This window comes from Homo sapiens, chromosome 7, assembly GCF_000001405.40.
Source record: "Homo sapiens chromosome 7, GRCh38.p14 Primary Assembly".
Lineage (NCBI taxonomy): Eukaryota > Metazoa > Chordata > Mammalia > Primates > Hominidae > Homo > Homo sapiens.
In genome coordinates, this window is record NC_000007.14 from 48,472,424 (window position 1) to 48,487,766 (window position 15,343).

The 15,343-nt window shown below is 40.9% G+C and overlaps 1 protein-coding gene across 22 annotated transcripts in view; it reads left to right on the forward strand.

Annotated features, from left to right (window-relative positions):
• ABCA13 (ATP binding cassette subfamily A member 13) overlaps positions 1 to 15,343 on the forward strand; it is a 476,040-nt gene that overhangs the window by 300,966 nt on the left and 159,731 nt on the right. For 20 of the 22 annotated variants that reach the window (XR_926914.3, XR_926915.3, XR_926919.3 and 17 more), the window contains 2 exons: positions 8,613 to 8,731; positions 10,653 to 10,740. Coding sequence is in view for 19 of the 22 variants with exons in the window: in XM_011515130.3 (XP_011513432.1) it covers positions 8,613 to 8,731; positions 10,653 to 10,740 (207 nt within the window). In the remaining 3 variants the exon portion in view is untranslated. Of the gene's footprint in view, positions 1 to 5,167; positions 5,207 to 8,612; positions 8,732 to 10,652; positions 10,741 to 15,343 lie in introns of those variants that run through there. The other 2 variants (XM_011515141.3, XM_011515142.3) reach the window with 1 other exon arrangement.

Here is a 15,343-nt window from a genome sequence, read left to right on the forward strand (position 1 = left end):
CTATGTGGGACACACTTCCAAGTTATCTTTGGAAGTACTCTAGAGAACAAAAAAGAAGCTCAAGTGAAATGGCCTTATTGTCTAGGGTGTCAAATGAAGTTATTTGTCTCATGGCCAAGGAAGTCAAGGATGTGGACACACCAAGAGTGAGCTTAGAGCAGAAATGTAATAAGTGAAAGAAAGAGAGAAAACTCTCTGCTGCAGAGAGGGATCTCAAAAAAGCGTTGTCATTTTGCAGTGAAGTGCAATAGTTTTAATAAAAAAAGCTAGCAGGGAAGGGTGCTCCATTTATATAGGGCTCAAAAAACCGGTTAGGACTAGGTGTGTCATTTCCATAAGGCACGAATCCCTGGCAGTCCCCACCCCATCTGTTTAGTGTACATGCAGGTCCTTAGCCTAAGTTACTCCATATTGCTTATCTCCTCCTACTGTGCATGCATTAGGGGCGGAACCCTTTTTATTAATCCATTTTCATGCTGCTGATAAAGGTGTACCCAAGACTGGGCAATTAACAGAAGAAAGAGGTTTATTGGACTTACAGCTCTACATGGCTGGGGAGGCCTCACAATCATGGTGGAAGGTGAAAGGCACTTCTTACATGGCAGCAGCAAGAGAGAGAATGAGAACCAAGGGAAATGGGTTTCCCCTTATCAAACCATCATATCTCATGGGACTTAGTCACTACCATGAGAACAATAAGGGGGAACCACCCCCGTGTTCAGTTATCTCCCATTGGGGTCCCTCCCACAACATGTGGGAGTACAAATCAAGATGAGATTTGGGTGGAGACATAGAGTCAAACAATATTACCCTTCAAGGTGGATGTGCCTGGCCCAGGCTAGCTCTTCTTATCTATAGTGTTGCAGCCATGTTCCAAGCAAGCTCCCCGTGCAAGCTTCCTTATGTGAGTATGTCGAAAAAGGAAAGGAATGTGCTCACTGGGGCCCACTGTATGTCAGTGAAACTTGCTGACTACACAGGAGGCCCCTTTCTGTGAGGGAATTCATCTCCCCATCTATGTTTGCAGCCCGAACTTTCAGGCTGCTCTTTGTTAGAAAATAAATGCCGCTGAGGACCTTGCCCTAACTATCTGCCTAGCCAGTTTCTTCCTTCCTTCTCTCTCATAATTTATTAAAGAAAAAAGAATGAATCAGGAGAGTGGGTGGTTACAAAAGTCGTTTGTCAGGGATTCTCACTGGCATTGTTAGGTTACTTTATAGCTCTGGTGGTGGCACTCAGCCTAGGGTCCATATAGCGAGCTGCTTAGAAATGATTGCTTAGCCCAAGGGGGATGGGGTGGAGTGTGACTGCTATCTCACTCCAGTGCCTCTCTGGGCCTGATTATTTAAAGGGAGCTCACATTCCTCAGATAAAAAGTTTTTTTGTTTGTCTTTTTTCTAGAGATTTTAGAAGCCTTGCTTTTGGAGGAACTAGTCTGCTTTCTTCTCTTAGACGAAAGATACACATGTAAGCGGGAATAGTGACACAGTACGCTTAGTGAGCACTCAGAGTGTTGGTTGATATGGGAGAGGTTTTGGAACTCTCCATGTTTCCCTCTTGGCCCCAGCTGTCAATAAACTCAGCTACATTTGGTGATCCTTTGCAGTGATCAGTTATCTTTTTTTTTAAATACATAATTATTGTTTTTTTTCCCCTGGTCTTGTTTTTCCATTTATTCACTTTAGGGGCAAAGGGCAAATTTCCCTTTCACCCTCTGAAGCTTCACTGAAAATCAGTTGACAAAAGGCAGGTTAACTGGGGAAATACCATACAAATGTGTGAATTTGCATGGGAGGATCACATCACAGAGTAATTACCCCAAACCCCCAAAGAGGTGCAGAAATTTCTATACCCTTTTCATAGGGGAAGGAGGAGATGGGAAATGTGGATAATTCTTTTAGGGACAGGAAATGATTGTTATAGAGAAAGAATGGGCCAGGGAGAGAGAAATTAGGTTCTCTCTAATTAGATGATTAGATGATTAGAAATTAGATGATTCTCCTGGAATTTGAGTGAGCCCGAAAGTCAGGCATTATCTTGTGAAAAAGTCCATCCAAGCATGGTTGCATTCTTCACACTTCTTTTCTGAAATAGATAATGAGATTTCAGGGAGGGGATTGAGGACTTATGTGTTTCCTTTGGTAAGGAGTTTTTTGGTCAGATATGGAAATTCCAAAGAGAATTGGAATGGAGGAGGAACAAGACAAGGTTTCAGGGACCTTGATTCTGAGGCTTATTTCTGAGGCCTTTCAATTGATAAAAATGCCCAGCATGCACAAATGCCATATTTTGGGGGATTGTTTTCTATGCCTCAGCACTCATGAGATCTCTGATTTTTTACACCACGCTCTTATTCTCTAGCCTTGATTTGATCATTCTATTATAGTAGTGGCTTTTAGTACCACCAGCTACCTAAGGCCTATTGGGATTAGAGTGGGTAAATATCAGAATGATTGGTGTTTATGTTCCTAAATTCACTTCAACTCACATAAACTATGAGATTTCAGTAATATGTAAGAAAAAAGGTTTTATCTGAAAAAGTTCCATAGTCAAATACGTTTTGCAAATGCTGGATAAAGCAGTATTAAGCAGGTATCTTTGCCACAGCTCTTCTAAGAAGCTATTTGGTGATAATGAAATTGTCCTTGAATTGACAGTGGAGTAGATGCAGCATTTTCTGCAAATTTGACTGCAAGAGTCCTTCCCTTTTGTGGCAGCAGTGTGTTTCGGGATGCACTTTGAGAAATGTTGGACCACACGTTAGAAATCAGAGAACCTCAGGAGACAGGGAGTTGAGGTGGAATTAATGAAAGTCCTAAGCAATGGGTGTGGCTACTCTTTGGGGTTGTCTCAAAGGAGACGTACACAAAGCTGTGTGGAAGGAAGGCCTATAGACCCAAGGCCAGTTCTCTGGTCTTTAGTGTTCATGTTGAGCCAAGTTGACTGTGTTTTGTTAGAAGGAAAAATATTTCTCTTCCCTTAAATACATGTGTGCTATCCAGCAGCCCTGGGTCTGCAAGAGCATGTCAATTTAATTTTTTTTTTTTTTTTTTTTTTTTTGAGACAGAGTCTCGCTCTGTCACCCAGGCTAGAGGGCAGTGGCGTGATCTCGACTCACTGCCACCTCCGCCTTCTGGGTTCAAGTGATTCTTCTGCCTCAGCCTCCTGAGTAGCTGGGATTACAGGCATGCGCCACTGTGCCCGGCTAATTTTTGTATTTTTAGTAGAGATGGGGTTTCACCATCTTGGCCAGGCTGGTCTCGAACTCCTGACCTTGTCATCCACCTGCCTCGGCCTCCCAAAGTGCTGGGGTTGCAGGTGTGAGCCACCACGCCCAACCTGTTTCCTCATGTTTTATCAAATATGCTGTGGCTGTCTCCAAACCTACAAAAAGGTTCCATGGTTAGTCCTTCTGAGGATGAAAACATGATTTGGAAGCGACACCGTTAGAAAAGGCTTAAAGGGGAACAGGAATTGAGCTAACTCTAAAGAACAAACAGGGATTTTTAGGGTCTGAGCTCCAGTGGATAACAACACTATGACCCAAAACATGTCATCGGGACTGAGTGTGGCTTTATACAGAATAGGTGGAGGGCATATTTGTTTCTTGTCGCTGAGATAATAAATTATCACACAGTTGGTGGCTTAAGAAAACATGAGTTTATTCTCACACAGTTCTGGAGGCTGGAAGTCTGAAGTCAGTGTGACTGGAGTGAAATTAAGGTGTCTGAAGACTCTTGAGGACAATCTGTCCTTTTCCTCCTCCAGCTTCTCTTGTTTCTGGCCTTCCTTGGCCTCTGGTGACATTACACACATCTCTATCTCCATTGTCACAGTGCCTCCTCCCCTTCTTTCTCTGTCTAGTCCTCCTCTGCCTCCCTCTCACAGTGGCACAGGTTGTAACCAGCAAAAGGGCCTGGCTGCTCGCTGCTTGTAGAAAGAGGCCAAAATAATAACGAGCTGATTAAAAGTGAGCAAGACTTTTTTATATGTGCCAGCAAGGGGAAGAGCAGAAAGCAATTCCGCTGTAATTTGTGGAGGGAACACAGGGTTTTTTAAAGAAAGGGTTTGGAATGCAGAAGAGGCAGGGGTGGTAGGTTGGGGGTTGGGGAGCGGGGAGCTAGGAGGTCCCAGGAGGGGTTACTTACTCCAATGGTTCATCTTGAATTATTGTTTCATTTGGTGAAGAGGCTGACCCCATCGTGGATCCTGCCAGGTTATAAACTAATCACAATCTTGTAGTTAGTCTTCAGCCGGGAATGGGTTCTGGCCTTGAAGTAATCTTTTGTTGGGGACAGATTTTCAGAGGTGTCTAGTCCTCTGAAACTTCTAAGGAAATATATGACCAGGTAAGTGAGCATGGCATGTGCTTAACAAGCATCTAGGTAAATAAATATGCATAAGGCATGGGGGCATGAAGTGGGAAAGGAAAGAGAAAGAAAACATTTCGAGGCTATAAGTTTATCTCAGAGCTACATCTTGAAACTCGGAGGGGAAAGAGGAAAAGGGAAAGGATAAAACATTTTAAAATGTTGTTTGAGGCTAAACTGCTAAGCAGCTCAGTTACAAGGTGAGTGCATGAGGGTGCACTGTCACAATCCAGGATAATCTTCTGGACTCAAGATCTGTAACTTAATAACATCGTCAAGATACAAAGTAGCATTTAAAGAGTCCAGAGATGAGGGCCTGATATTTTGGTGGGGGGGCGGTCAATATTCAGTTTAATACAGAGGGTGTATTTGGGGACACCTACACGGATAATGGTTAGAATGAGACCAAGGATATTTTCTCATGATCATTAAAAAGTCAGGAAACAACAGGTGCTGGAGAGGATGTGGAGAAATAGGAACACTTTTACACTGTTGGTGGGACTGTAAACTAGTTCAACCATTGTGGAAGTCAGTATGGCGATTCCTCAGGGATCTAGAACTAGAAATACCATTTGAGCCAGCCATCCCATTACTAGGTATATACCCAAAGGACTATAAATCATGCTGCTATAAAGACACATGCACACGTATGTTTATTGCAGCACTATTCACAATAGCAAAGACTTGGAACCAACCCAAATGTCCAACAATGATAGACTGGATTAAGAAAATGTGGCACATATACACCATGGAATACTATGCAGCCATAAAAAATAATGAGTTCATGTCTTTTGTAGGGACATGGATGAAACTGGAAATCATCATTCTCAGCAAACTATCGCAAGGACAAAAAACCAAACACTGCATGTTCTCACTCATAGGTGGGAATTGAACAATGAGAACACATGGACACAGGAAGGGGAACATCACACTCCGGGGACTGTTGTGGGGTGGGGGGAGGGGGGAGGGATAGCATTAGGAGATATACTTAATGCTAAATGACGAGTTAATGGGTGCAGTACACCAACATGGCACATGTATACATATGTAACAAACCTGCACATTGTGCACATGTACCCTAAAACTTAAAGTATAATAATAATAAAAAAAAGAATGAGACCAAGGATATTTTCTAGTAGACCTGAATTCTTGATAATAATTGGAATTTTTTTTAGCAAGAAAATCATCTAATGGAAAACACCATTTTAGAAGGATGTATCTTGATAAGTATGGGGGGTGGTGAAGTGAATTGGAGAGAGGAAAGCTGGAGGTAGGGAAACTTTGGAGGTTGTTATGTTCATCAAGGTTGGCTGATTTATTTATTTATTTTAATTGAGAAGCAGAAGTTATATATATTTGTGGTTACAGCATATCATATATCATGATATATATATAATACATAAAATGATATGATATATATACATATATCATTATATATACATATATAATATTTCATTTATATATAGTATTTCATTTTTATATATATCATATATATCATTTTATATATATATATATATAATCACACACACCCATTATGGAAAGGCTAAATCCAGCTTTTTAATATATGCATTACCTCATGTACTTATTGTAGGGGCACAGGAAAACTTGCCCTTCATCCTCTGTAAGTTTGCTAAAAAATCAACTCTAAAAGCAGATTAATTGGAGAAAAGGCATATGAATTCTTTTAACATGTACAGGGGGAGAATTACAGAGTGATTATCTATCCCCCAATGAAGTTCAGAAGTTTATATATCATCTCAAGTTTACCAAAAGAATAGGGCTTTGGATCCTGGCAAATCAGGTTATGGCGGGAGAAGACGCATTCTGTACTGGGACAATAAAAGATTGCAATAGAGAATAAATGGATCTTGGAACAGACACTCTCTGTTTAGGTATGGTTACATTCTTGGTCTTACAGGGAGGAGAAGAAATAAAACATTCTCCTTGGTGAGTCTAGATTTTAGTTAGGTAAAGAATTTCAACTTCATCCTGTGCTTTGGGAGAGATGGTGGGTAGGAGGGAGGTCAGAGAGACCTTGAAGCTTCTTTAGCTCAGCATGTGAAAGCACCACATTTTGGGGTATTGTTTTCTGAGCCCCAACGTTACTATTTGTGTGCATGTGTTTGTGTGTGTTGAGGATACTTAAAATCTACTCTTTTTTTTTTTTTTTTTGAGATGTAGTCTCGCTCTGTCGCCCAGGCTGGAGTGCAGTGGCGCGATCTTGGCTCACTGCAAGCTCCGCCTCCTGGGTTCACGCCATTCTCCTGCCTCAGCCTCCCAAGTAGCTGGGACTACAGGTGGCCGCCACTACGCCCGGCTAATTTTTTTTTGTATTTTTAGTAGTGACGGGGTTTCACCGTGTTAGCCAGGATGGTCTCGATCTCCTGACCTCGTGATCTGCCCGCCTCAGCCTCCCAAAGTTAAAATCTACTCTTTTAGCAATTTTCCTTTTTCCTTTTTTTGAGACAGAGTCTCGCTCTGTGGCCCAGGCTGGAGTGCAGTGGTGCCATCTTGGCTCACTGCAACCTCCGCCTCCCAGGTTCAAGCAATTCTTCTGCCTCAGCCTCCCGAGTAGCTGGGACCACAGGATTGTGCTACCACGCCCTGCTAATTTTTGCATTTTTATTAGAGATGGGGTTTCATCATGTTGCCTAGGCTGGTCTCAAACTCCTGACCTCAAGCGATCCACCCACCTCCGCCTCCCAATGTGCTGGGATTACAGGTGTGAGCCCCTCGACTGGCTCTTTTAGCAATTTTCAAGGTACAATACATTGTCACTAATTGTAGTCATTATGTTGTACAATAGATCTCTTGTACTTTTGCCTCCTGTTTAGCTGAAATTTTGTATCCATTGACCAACATCCTCTCTGCCAATCACCATTTTACTCTCTGTTCCTATGAGTTTGACTTTTTTAGATTCCACAAATAAGTGAGAGTCTTGCTGAATTATTATGTACAACAATTATTATTCTTTTTAGTATCTTTCCTCAAGCCTTTCTTTCAAGACCCTGAAAGTAGTATCTTAAATGCATATCGCCCTTCTTACTTTGCTGTAGTTCTTTCATGTGTATCTGAACCTAACAGCAAATCCATGCATTTAGGTAAGCCTGTTTTCATTTTCATTTTGCAAATAAGCAGACAAGCTTCCAAAGCTGTAATGAATGTGAAACTGGCCCAAATGTCTCTTAGAAGTAATATTTATGGATTTTCGAATAAACATAGAAATGGACCCTCCCTGGTCTTAAAAGTTGAAACTTACATTTCTCTCACCTGAGTTTCTTCCTCAAGAAACTGATCCTCAGGCAAGGGACTGAAATACGTTAGATCTCTGAGTTCAGAAAATGAGACTCCAGACGTCTTATCCATCATGATTGCTTCCTTACCCCTCCTTCTTTCCTGTTTTCCCATTTTCCCCTCCATATAACCCCCACCAGTTTTAGATGGTTGAGGAGATGGATTTGAGACTTTCTCTTTCATTCTCCTCAGCTGCAGAACTCAGCTAAAAGCTTCCTCCCTGGCAACACTCATTGTTTCAGTGATTGGCTTTCTGTGCAGCAAGACCAAACCCCTGGCATTTTGATAACAAAAGACTCAGAGACAGAGTCGTTTCCTATTTTAATATATCATCTTTTCTGAAAGTGTTTGAGAAATGGAAACAAAGCACATTAACTCTAAAGCCGGTCTGTGGCAGGGCAGAGCACATCATTGCGCAGCCTCCAGTGGCCTGGGTTTTGCGTTGTGTTGATCACCTCCTCCTACCTTGTTAGGTGATTATTCCATGATGCAGAGCTGGTGTTGGCATGCTGGTGAGTCGCTGGAGAAAAGCTGTTTGATTTCTACTTTAGACCCTTATGAAAGAGACACACGCCTTTGAATTATCCTGCTTATCTTCCTCCCACTAGTTGTTTCTGACTCTCTTTCAGGTTCGTCAAATGCAAGATCACCCCAGTGAAAACATTTTTTTTCTTTTTAGTTTTTATAAATCTGCCCAAACTTACATACAGAAAAGGATTTGAAGTTCTCAGATATAATTGACTGCATAAGTCACAGTGGTATTCTGGCATAATTCTCAAATACATGTGACTGAAAGAGATTTTAGAAATTAGAACATATAAAGGGCTGCAGATAATTTATTAAAAATTGAAAGCTAGAGAACAATCACATGTAGTTTCAAGTAATGTCAGTGAACCAGTTTGTGAATTATAAAAAAGTTTGTTTTTATCTTTTTGAAAACAATTTCAGAAGTGTCCAAATAGAAGTGCTAGTGCTCCCTACCTGACCAACCACCTGGGCCACACACTGTTGAATCTCTCAGGCTTCAATATGGAGGAGTACTTGCTGGCACCATCTGAAAAACCAAGGTGTGTTCAATACTCTTGTTGGGTCTTTACTTGTTTGGATTACTATGGAAAACTTATTGTTTTAAATGCTAATGTTCTTAAAAAGTCAAAAATCTAAGACTGACCTTGGTGCTCATAAAAATTCCACAGTGTGTGATGTTCCCCTTCCTGTGTCCATGTTTTTACATTGAAAGTAGACAAATAGTTTTGTCATCTGTTTCTCATCCATTTCTAATATTTAAATATAATAAAGTCTAATTGAATACAAAAACAAACAAAAAAAATTCCACATAGATGCCATGGACCTTAATAAGATTCCTTACTGCTGACTTTCACTCTTTTAAGTGCTGGGGGAAATCCTATCAATTGAGATTTGTCAGTGGCAGAAGCACGAGAGCCAGAAGCTGTTTTACTGCTTTAGGAAATAAGAGCAGATAAGTTTACAGCATGCAAGCTCCACCTCCCAGGTTCAAGAGATTCTCGTGCCTCAGCCTCCCGAGTAGCTGGGTCTACAGGCACCTGCCACCACACCTGGCTAATTTTTTTGTATTTTTAGTAGAGATGGGATTTCACCATATTGGTCAGGCTGGTCTTGAACTCCTGACCTCAGGTGATCCTCCCGCCTCAGGCTCCCAAAGTGCTAGGATTACAGGCATGAGCCGATAGCTTTTTGAAGGTGGGAACTTGTGTGCCCAGAACTTAGAATATTATCTGGCACATCAAAGATGTTCAACCAGTATCTGTTGAATGAATGAGTGTATTCAGTTGAGCCAGTTGGGAATGTGTACTTATTCCTTTGCCTGAATTTTTGCTGAGAGTAGAACACTGTGATAGAAGAGAAGACTATTCTTCAGTCTCCTTTTATCTAGTGAGTGGAAGACAAAATTTATTTAGATAATAGTTAACATTATATTTTTTTAAATGTTAACCCTTTTTTTGAAGTTTAATAGATACAAGATACTGTGCAACTCATGGAGATATTAAAAAAAGATATAATTCCCACCCAGGAAAAATTCACAGAGCTACATAAAGATAAACCAGCAAATAGACAATAAAACCCAGTGTGGTAATTGATAACAATGGATGGAAATACAGGGTATTGTGGGAACTCAAAAGACAAGGAACATCTAACCCACTTGAAATTGTCTGGAATGCTTTCCTAAACCAGACAAGATTTGAGTGAAAGATTAAAGAAATAGAGTAGGGAAGACAAACCAGAGTGGCTCAAAAGATTATGACCACTATTAAGAAATTTTTTTTTTTTTTGAAATGGAGTCTTGCTCTGTTGCCTAGGCTGGAGTGCAGTGGCACGATGTCCACTGTAACCTCCGCCTCCCAGGTTCAAGCGATTCTCTTGCCTCAGCCTCCTGAGTAGCTGGGATTACAGGTGCCTGCCACCATGCCCAGCTAATTTTTTTTTTTGTATTTTTACAAAATACAGAAAAAGACAGGGTTTCACCATGTTGGCCAGGCTGGTCTCAAACTCCTGACCTCAGGTGGTCCATCTGCCTCGGCCTCCCAACGTGCTGGGATTACAGGTGTGAGCCACCACACCTAGCCCAAGAAATTCTGAATAATGGATTTGTAGAGGGAATGACCATTAATTAAAATAATAACAGTGCTGATGATCAAGCCCTACCTGTTACATGGCATGTATTTCCTAACAAGACAGTAAGGTGTGACAAGTACACTTTCTAATGTGGCCAGCCTTATCCACACCTTCTCAATTATCAGTGCCTTCCGTTTTGCCTGGCTTGGGAGCCAGGAAACTTGCATCAGCACAGCACCTGTCTGCCTGTGTGTTCATGTCACAGACCACAGATGCTCAGTTGGCTACTGTCCTAAGACTGCTGTACCTGGTGGGGTTAGTAATGAATACCCTCTGATTAGAAGTCCTGGTGCTCTGTGGTTGAAGCACTAACACAATGTTCATTGTTAACAGGCTTGGAGGTTGGTCTTTTGGATTAAAAATCCCCAGTGAAGCTGGAGGTGCAAATGGAAACATATCAAAACCCCCAACTCTGGCAAAGGTAATCATATTTTTTTATTTTTTTCCTGTTTTAGAAAGTATTTAGGAAAACTCAACATTCAAATATAATTTTGAGCACAGGGTTCAGAAGGACCAGATTAAATCCAATCATTTGTTACTAAGCATCAAGGAAAATTATATGTAAACATTGTCTTGAAAAAAAATGGCTTGTTTTTCTTTAGAAATCGAGGAAATAGGTTTTTGCTTTTTGTTAAGACAGGACTTCACCTAGTAAATATAAAGTGGAGGAAAAAATCTATTTTCAAAGATACCCACAGTTGTCATAATTGGAAATATCACTAGTTTCTTTGCTGGCCAAGGAGTACTTCCATTCATGAATGTAAATGCCTTATCTTCCAGAAGGCTGGATAGATAGGCCTGGAGATGACACAAAGAAAGCAGCAGTTACACAGAGCTACTCTTAGGAGTCCTGGATTTTCAAGCCCTGCCAGGACTATACCTGTGAATTAGGAATGGTCCCCTTAGAATTAAAGAGACTAGGTGGGAGATTCTTCAGCTTTGAGAGAATGAGGACTGGGATAGAGGAAAGATGCCTTGATCCATCAGTAGGAATAGAGAAGTGGTGAACCCAACAGTGAGTTGTTATTTAAGGAAAAAAGTCAACACTACCTTAAAATGGGGAAAGCAGAAAGATTCAAAGCATTCAGTCTCCATGACTGGAGAAATAGTATTGTGTTTGATTGAGAGAGAAATCAGAAAAGGGTAGATTGTGGGAGGAAGTTAAGTCCACTGCGGGAGAGTGAGTGTGAGTTCTTATTAGGATATCAGTATAGACATTTCATTCTGTAGTGTGTGGATGTTGTGTCTACTCATGAGCCAATTGTGGAGCTATGAGAACAAGAACAATCTCCATGAGCCCAGGAAGGCACTCTCTCTCTTCTGTAGTGGGGACTTGCATGGTTCATGTGAACCTGAAGGAGCTTATTGGGATAAAGACATGCACATGTTGGAGGTTTATTCAGTGAAATAAAAGTTCTTACAGGTGCTTCACAATGTCATCCCTGATGAGACAGTCATACTTCACAATGTAATCCCTAAACAAAATTTTAACAGTCATGTATTACGATGTAATCTGGGAAAAATTTCCAGTCATAGTGTGGACGATTCAGGAATCTCTCCAACAGCTGAGGTTTGTTCAAATCTCTTTTCCTTCTAAAGACAACACACATTCATGAAGATTTAAAGCTTGATATGAAAATATCATTATTAATAACTTGATAGAAAAATAAAATGTATTTGCTGACATATATTGGAATACATTATGTGGCCATTATGAAAATATACCTAATTAGTAGAAGGAATCTGTTCATTTCCTCTACAAATATTCCGACTTTTTAGTCTATCCCAATCTAAACCCTTCTTACGTATTCATAGGAGATGGTTGTGTCTTTGCTTTGAAGTGTCTGAGGCACGGACCTCTTGTTCAGTGATGAGTGGCTGGGGATTTGTGTGTTCTCCTCACATCTCTAACTTTTTGTCTTTGTTTAGATGAGTCTTCTGTACTGACATGTTTGAGTGGTGATTGCTGAAGTTTTTAATGTTATTTACGTGTCCTTCACCAGGCACAAGCATGCAGGTGAATTATACTTGACCCTTTGGGGACTGAGCTCCTCTCCAGCAAGCCAAGGAACTCAACATTGTTGTGGGGTGTAAAGGGCAATCTATTATTTGAAATACCAGAACTGCTGGCGGCTGATACTGCTTCAAATGATTGCATTTATCTTTCTGTAATGACCGGCTTTTTCTTTCAGCCCTTAGGCTACATTCATCGACATAGATGATATGATTTCATAGTCCTTCTGAAGGAAAACATGAAAAATTTGCATATGAATAGGCTTAATGTATGGTTCAATATCTTGTAGAATGTCTCTTGTGTGACCTTTATGAGTTCTATCATTCACATCTTGAGTGTTTAGCTTGTTTAATCAAAACACTCTTTAGAACTTACACACTTCAGTTAAAGAAGCCAAACACATTTTCACTTTCGTTTTTTTCATAGTTCTGTTCTCCCATGGAATTTTATATATTTGAATATCCACTGAGAGTTTTTTTTTTCTTATAGCTGCTTAGTTACTTTTTGGAGGGGCTGTTATTCCTGAGATGAAAGGTCTGTTTTGAGGTGTCATAGTATGTTCCTAAAAGAAGATTAATTTCCTATTTCATTATTGGACTTTATCACTTCGTGACTTATGGACTGGTAGGGAAGGAAATCCCACAGCTTATTTCCAGAACACAGCCTAGTTTTAGAAAACCATTCTTGGGAGAAAAAGAAAAAGAAAAAGAAAGAAATAAAAGCTTTTTCTTTGATCTCTGTTAAGTCCTGAATGGTAACTTTAAGATCATCACAAAGTATGCATTTATTACTTAAAGAATCTATAAAACCTTTCTCAAGTAAAGGCCAGTTTATAAAGGAACCGATCAGGAGTTCCAGAACATTTTAAAATCTGTTCCTTGGAACTCTGCAAGTCAATCATTTATTGCCAAAATGATGCTATGTAGCAAACAACTGCAAACCGTTAGTAGCATCAAGAGTAAACATGCATTTCGCTCATGAGTCTGTGGGATTGTGCTGCTGTGGGCTGTGCATAACAGATGGTGCCAGGCCCCACTATCTGTGGGGAATTTGGGATGCTCTTTATCCAGGCCCTGGTTCTACATCCTTGGAATGTTCCCCAGCTCATCATCTGCAATGACCCTTAACTCTACTCTGCCAGGTGCTTCCCCTTCCATTGCCCTCCATAGCTATGTGTGAAGATACTTTAAAATATGCCTTTTGAGTAGCTCTCAGCCTGCTTCCTGCCTGTGGACAGCTGGGTTCTTAGAGCTATTTACATTTTACATGTATTCCAGCCTGGGGTACCTTCTTGATATAGCTTCCTATAAAGCACCCTAGGCTTTCTAGTTTTCTAACTGAGATCCACAAGCTACTCTCACGATCTTGTTGAGATATGCTGCTCTCTCTAAAATTAATTAGTGGCATTTGGGGAATGCCAGAATACTAGAGGACAACACCCTTTAGGTTCCTAAAAGCCCTGTGTCTCCCTGAGAGAGTCTCTTAGCAGCATCATTCTTTGAAGATCTCAACAAAGTTCTTACAATTGCACCCTTGACTTGATCTTTCTTCTGAGGCCATGTCTTTCAACATTCTCTCAAGAGAGCTCCGTACCCAGGTCAAGATGTTTATTGGGCACCATTTCCATCTTTGAAGTTAATACAGGTGACATTACCCACTGTTTTCACACTGTAATATGCGTCACCCTTTTTTCAATTATTTATAGCAGTTTGTTTTTTATTATTTTTCCCCAGTATTCCTAAATACTTTATCATGTATTTCCAGGCTTCTCAATTGTCTCTTTGTCCCCCAACTTGCTAGTATCAAAAGCAACGCCAACTATTTTCGGTTTTTGGTACAGTAACACCCCATTCCAGTGTAAATCACTATATTGGTACTCTATTGCCACAATAATGCTCTATAACAACAATTTCAAAGCTCAGTGGCCTCCACAATGGATGTTCATTTAGCTCACGGGTCTGTGAGGTTTTGCTAATGCAGACTGGGCTGGGCTGATCTTGGCCAGGAATGAACATGTGTGTGGTATTGGCTTCAGCTGGGATGACAGTGGAGGTCTCAGCTCCACTGTTGCATCTGATGATAGCAGAGGCATAAGGGAGACTTCAGGAACATACATGTGCCTCTCAATTGTGCCACATTCTATTGGCCATAGCAAGTCACATGGCCAAGCACAGCATCAGAATGGGAGGGCATGAAAGTCATATAGCAAAGCATGTGGATACAGGGATGGTGAAGAACTAGGGCCCTTAATACAATCATGAACAGAAGTTTTGGCCCGGTGCAGCGGCTCATGCCTGTAATCCCAGCACTTTGGGAGTCCAAAGTGGGCGGATCACCTGAGGTCAGGAGTTCGAGACCAGCCTGACCAACATGGAGATACCCCATCTCTACTAAAAATACAAAATTAGCCGGGCGTGGTGGCACATGCCTGTAATGCCAGCTACTCAGGAGGCTAAGGCAAGAGAATTGCTTGAACTCGGGAGGCAGATGTTGCAGTGAGCTGAGATCATGCCATTGCATTCCAGCCTGGGCAACGAGCAAAACTGTGTCTCAAAAAAAAAACAAAACAAAACAAAACAAAAAAAACAAACAAACACAAACAGAAGTCTCAGAATCTACAAAGGGTGAAACTAGGGAGGCTGAGCAGGCAGCCTCCTGTCTTTCCAGCTCCATTCAGCCAAAGAAGCTCTGTTTTTGTTTCTGTACTGTAGTGTGGTGTCATTTTTAAGTTTTTTTTTTAATCACTCTACTTTTAAAACAAAAATTAAAATAATAAAACAAATCAAAACAAAATTTAAAAAACCTTAATTCAGGGCAGGGACTATCCTTGTGTCTTCTATTTTTTCCCTAAATTTGAACAGTTAAGGGAATCAAGACTTGGGGGAGAAGGAGGTCACAGACCAGGCTAGTGGGAGGTTCCACTTTCCATAGGCAGTGGGCTTTTCTACCAGATTAGCCTGTCCCTTAACTTCAACAGAATCCTGAGTTTCTATCATTTCCAGAAATCTGG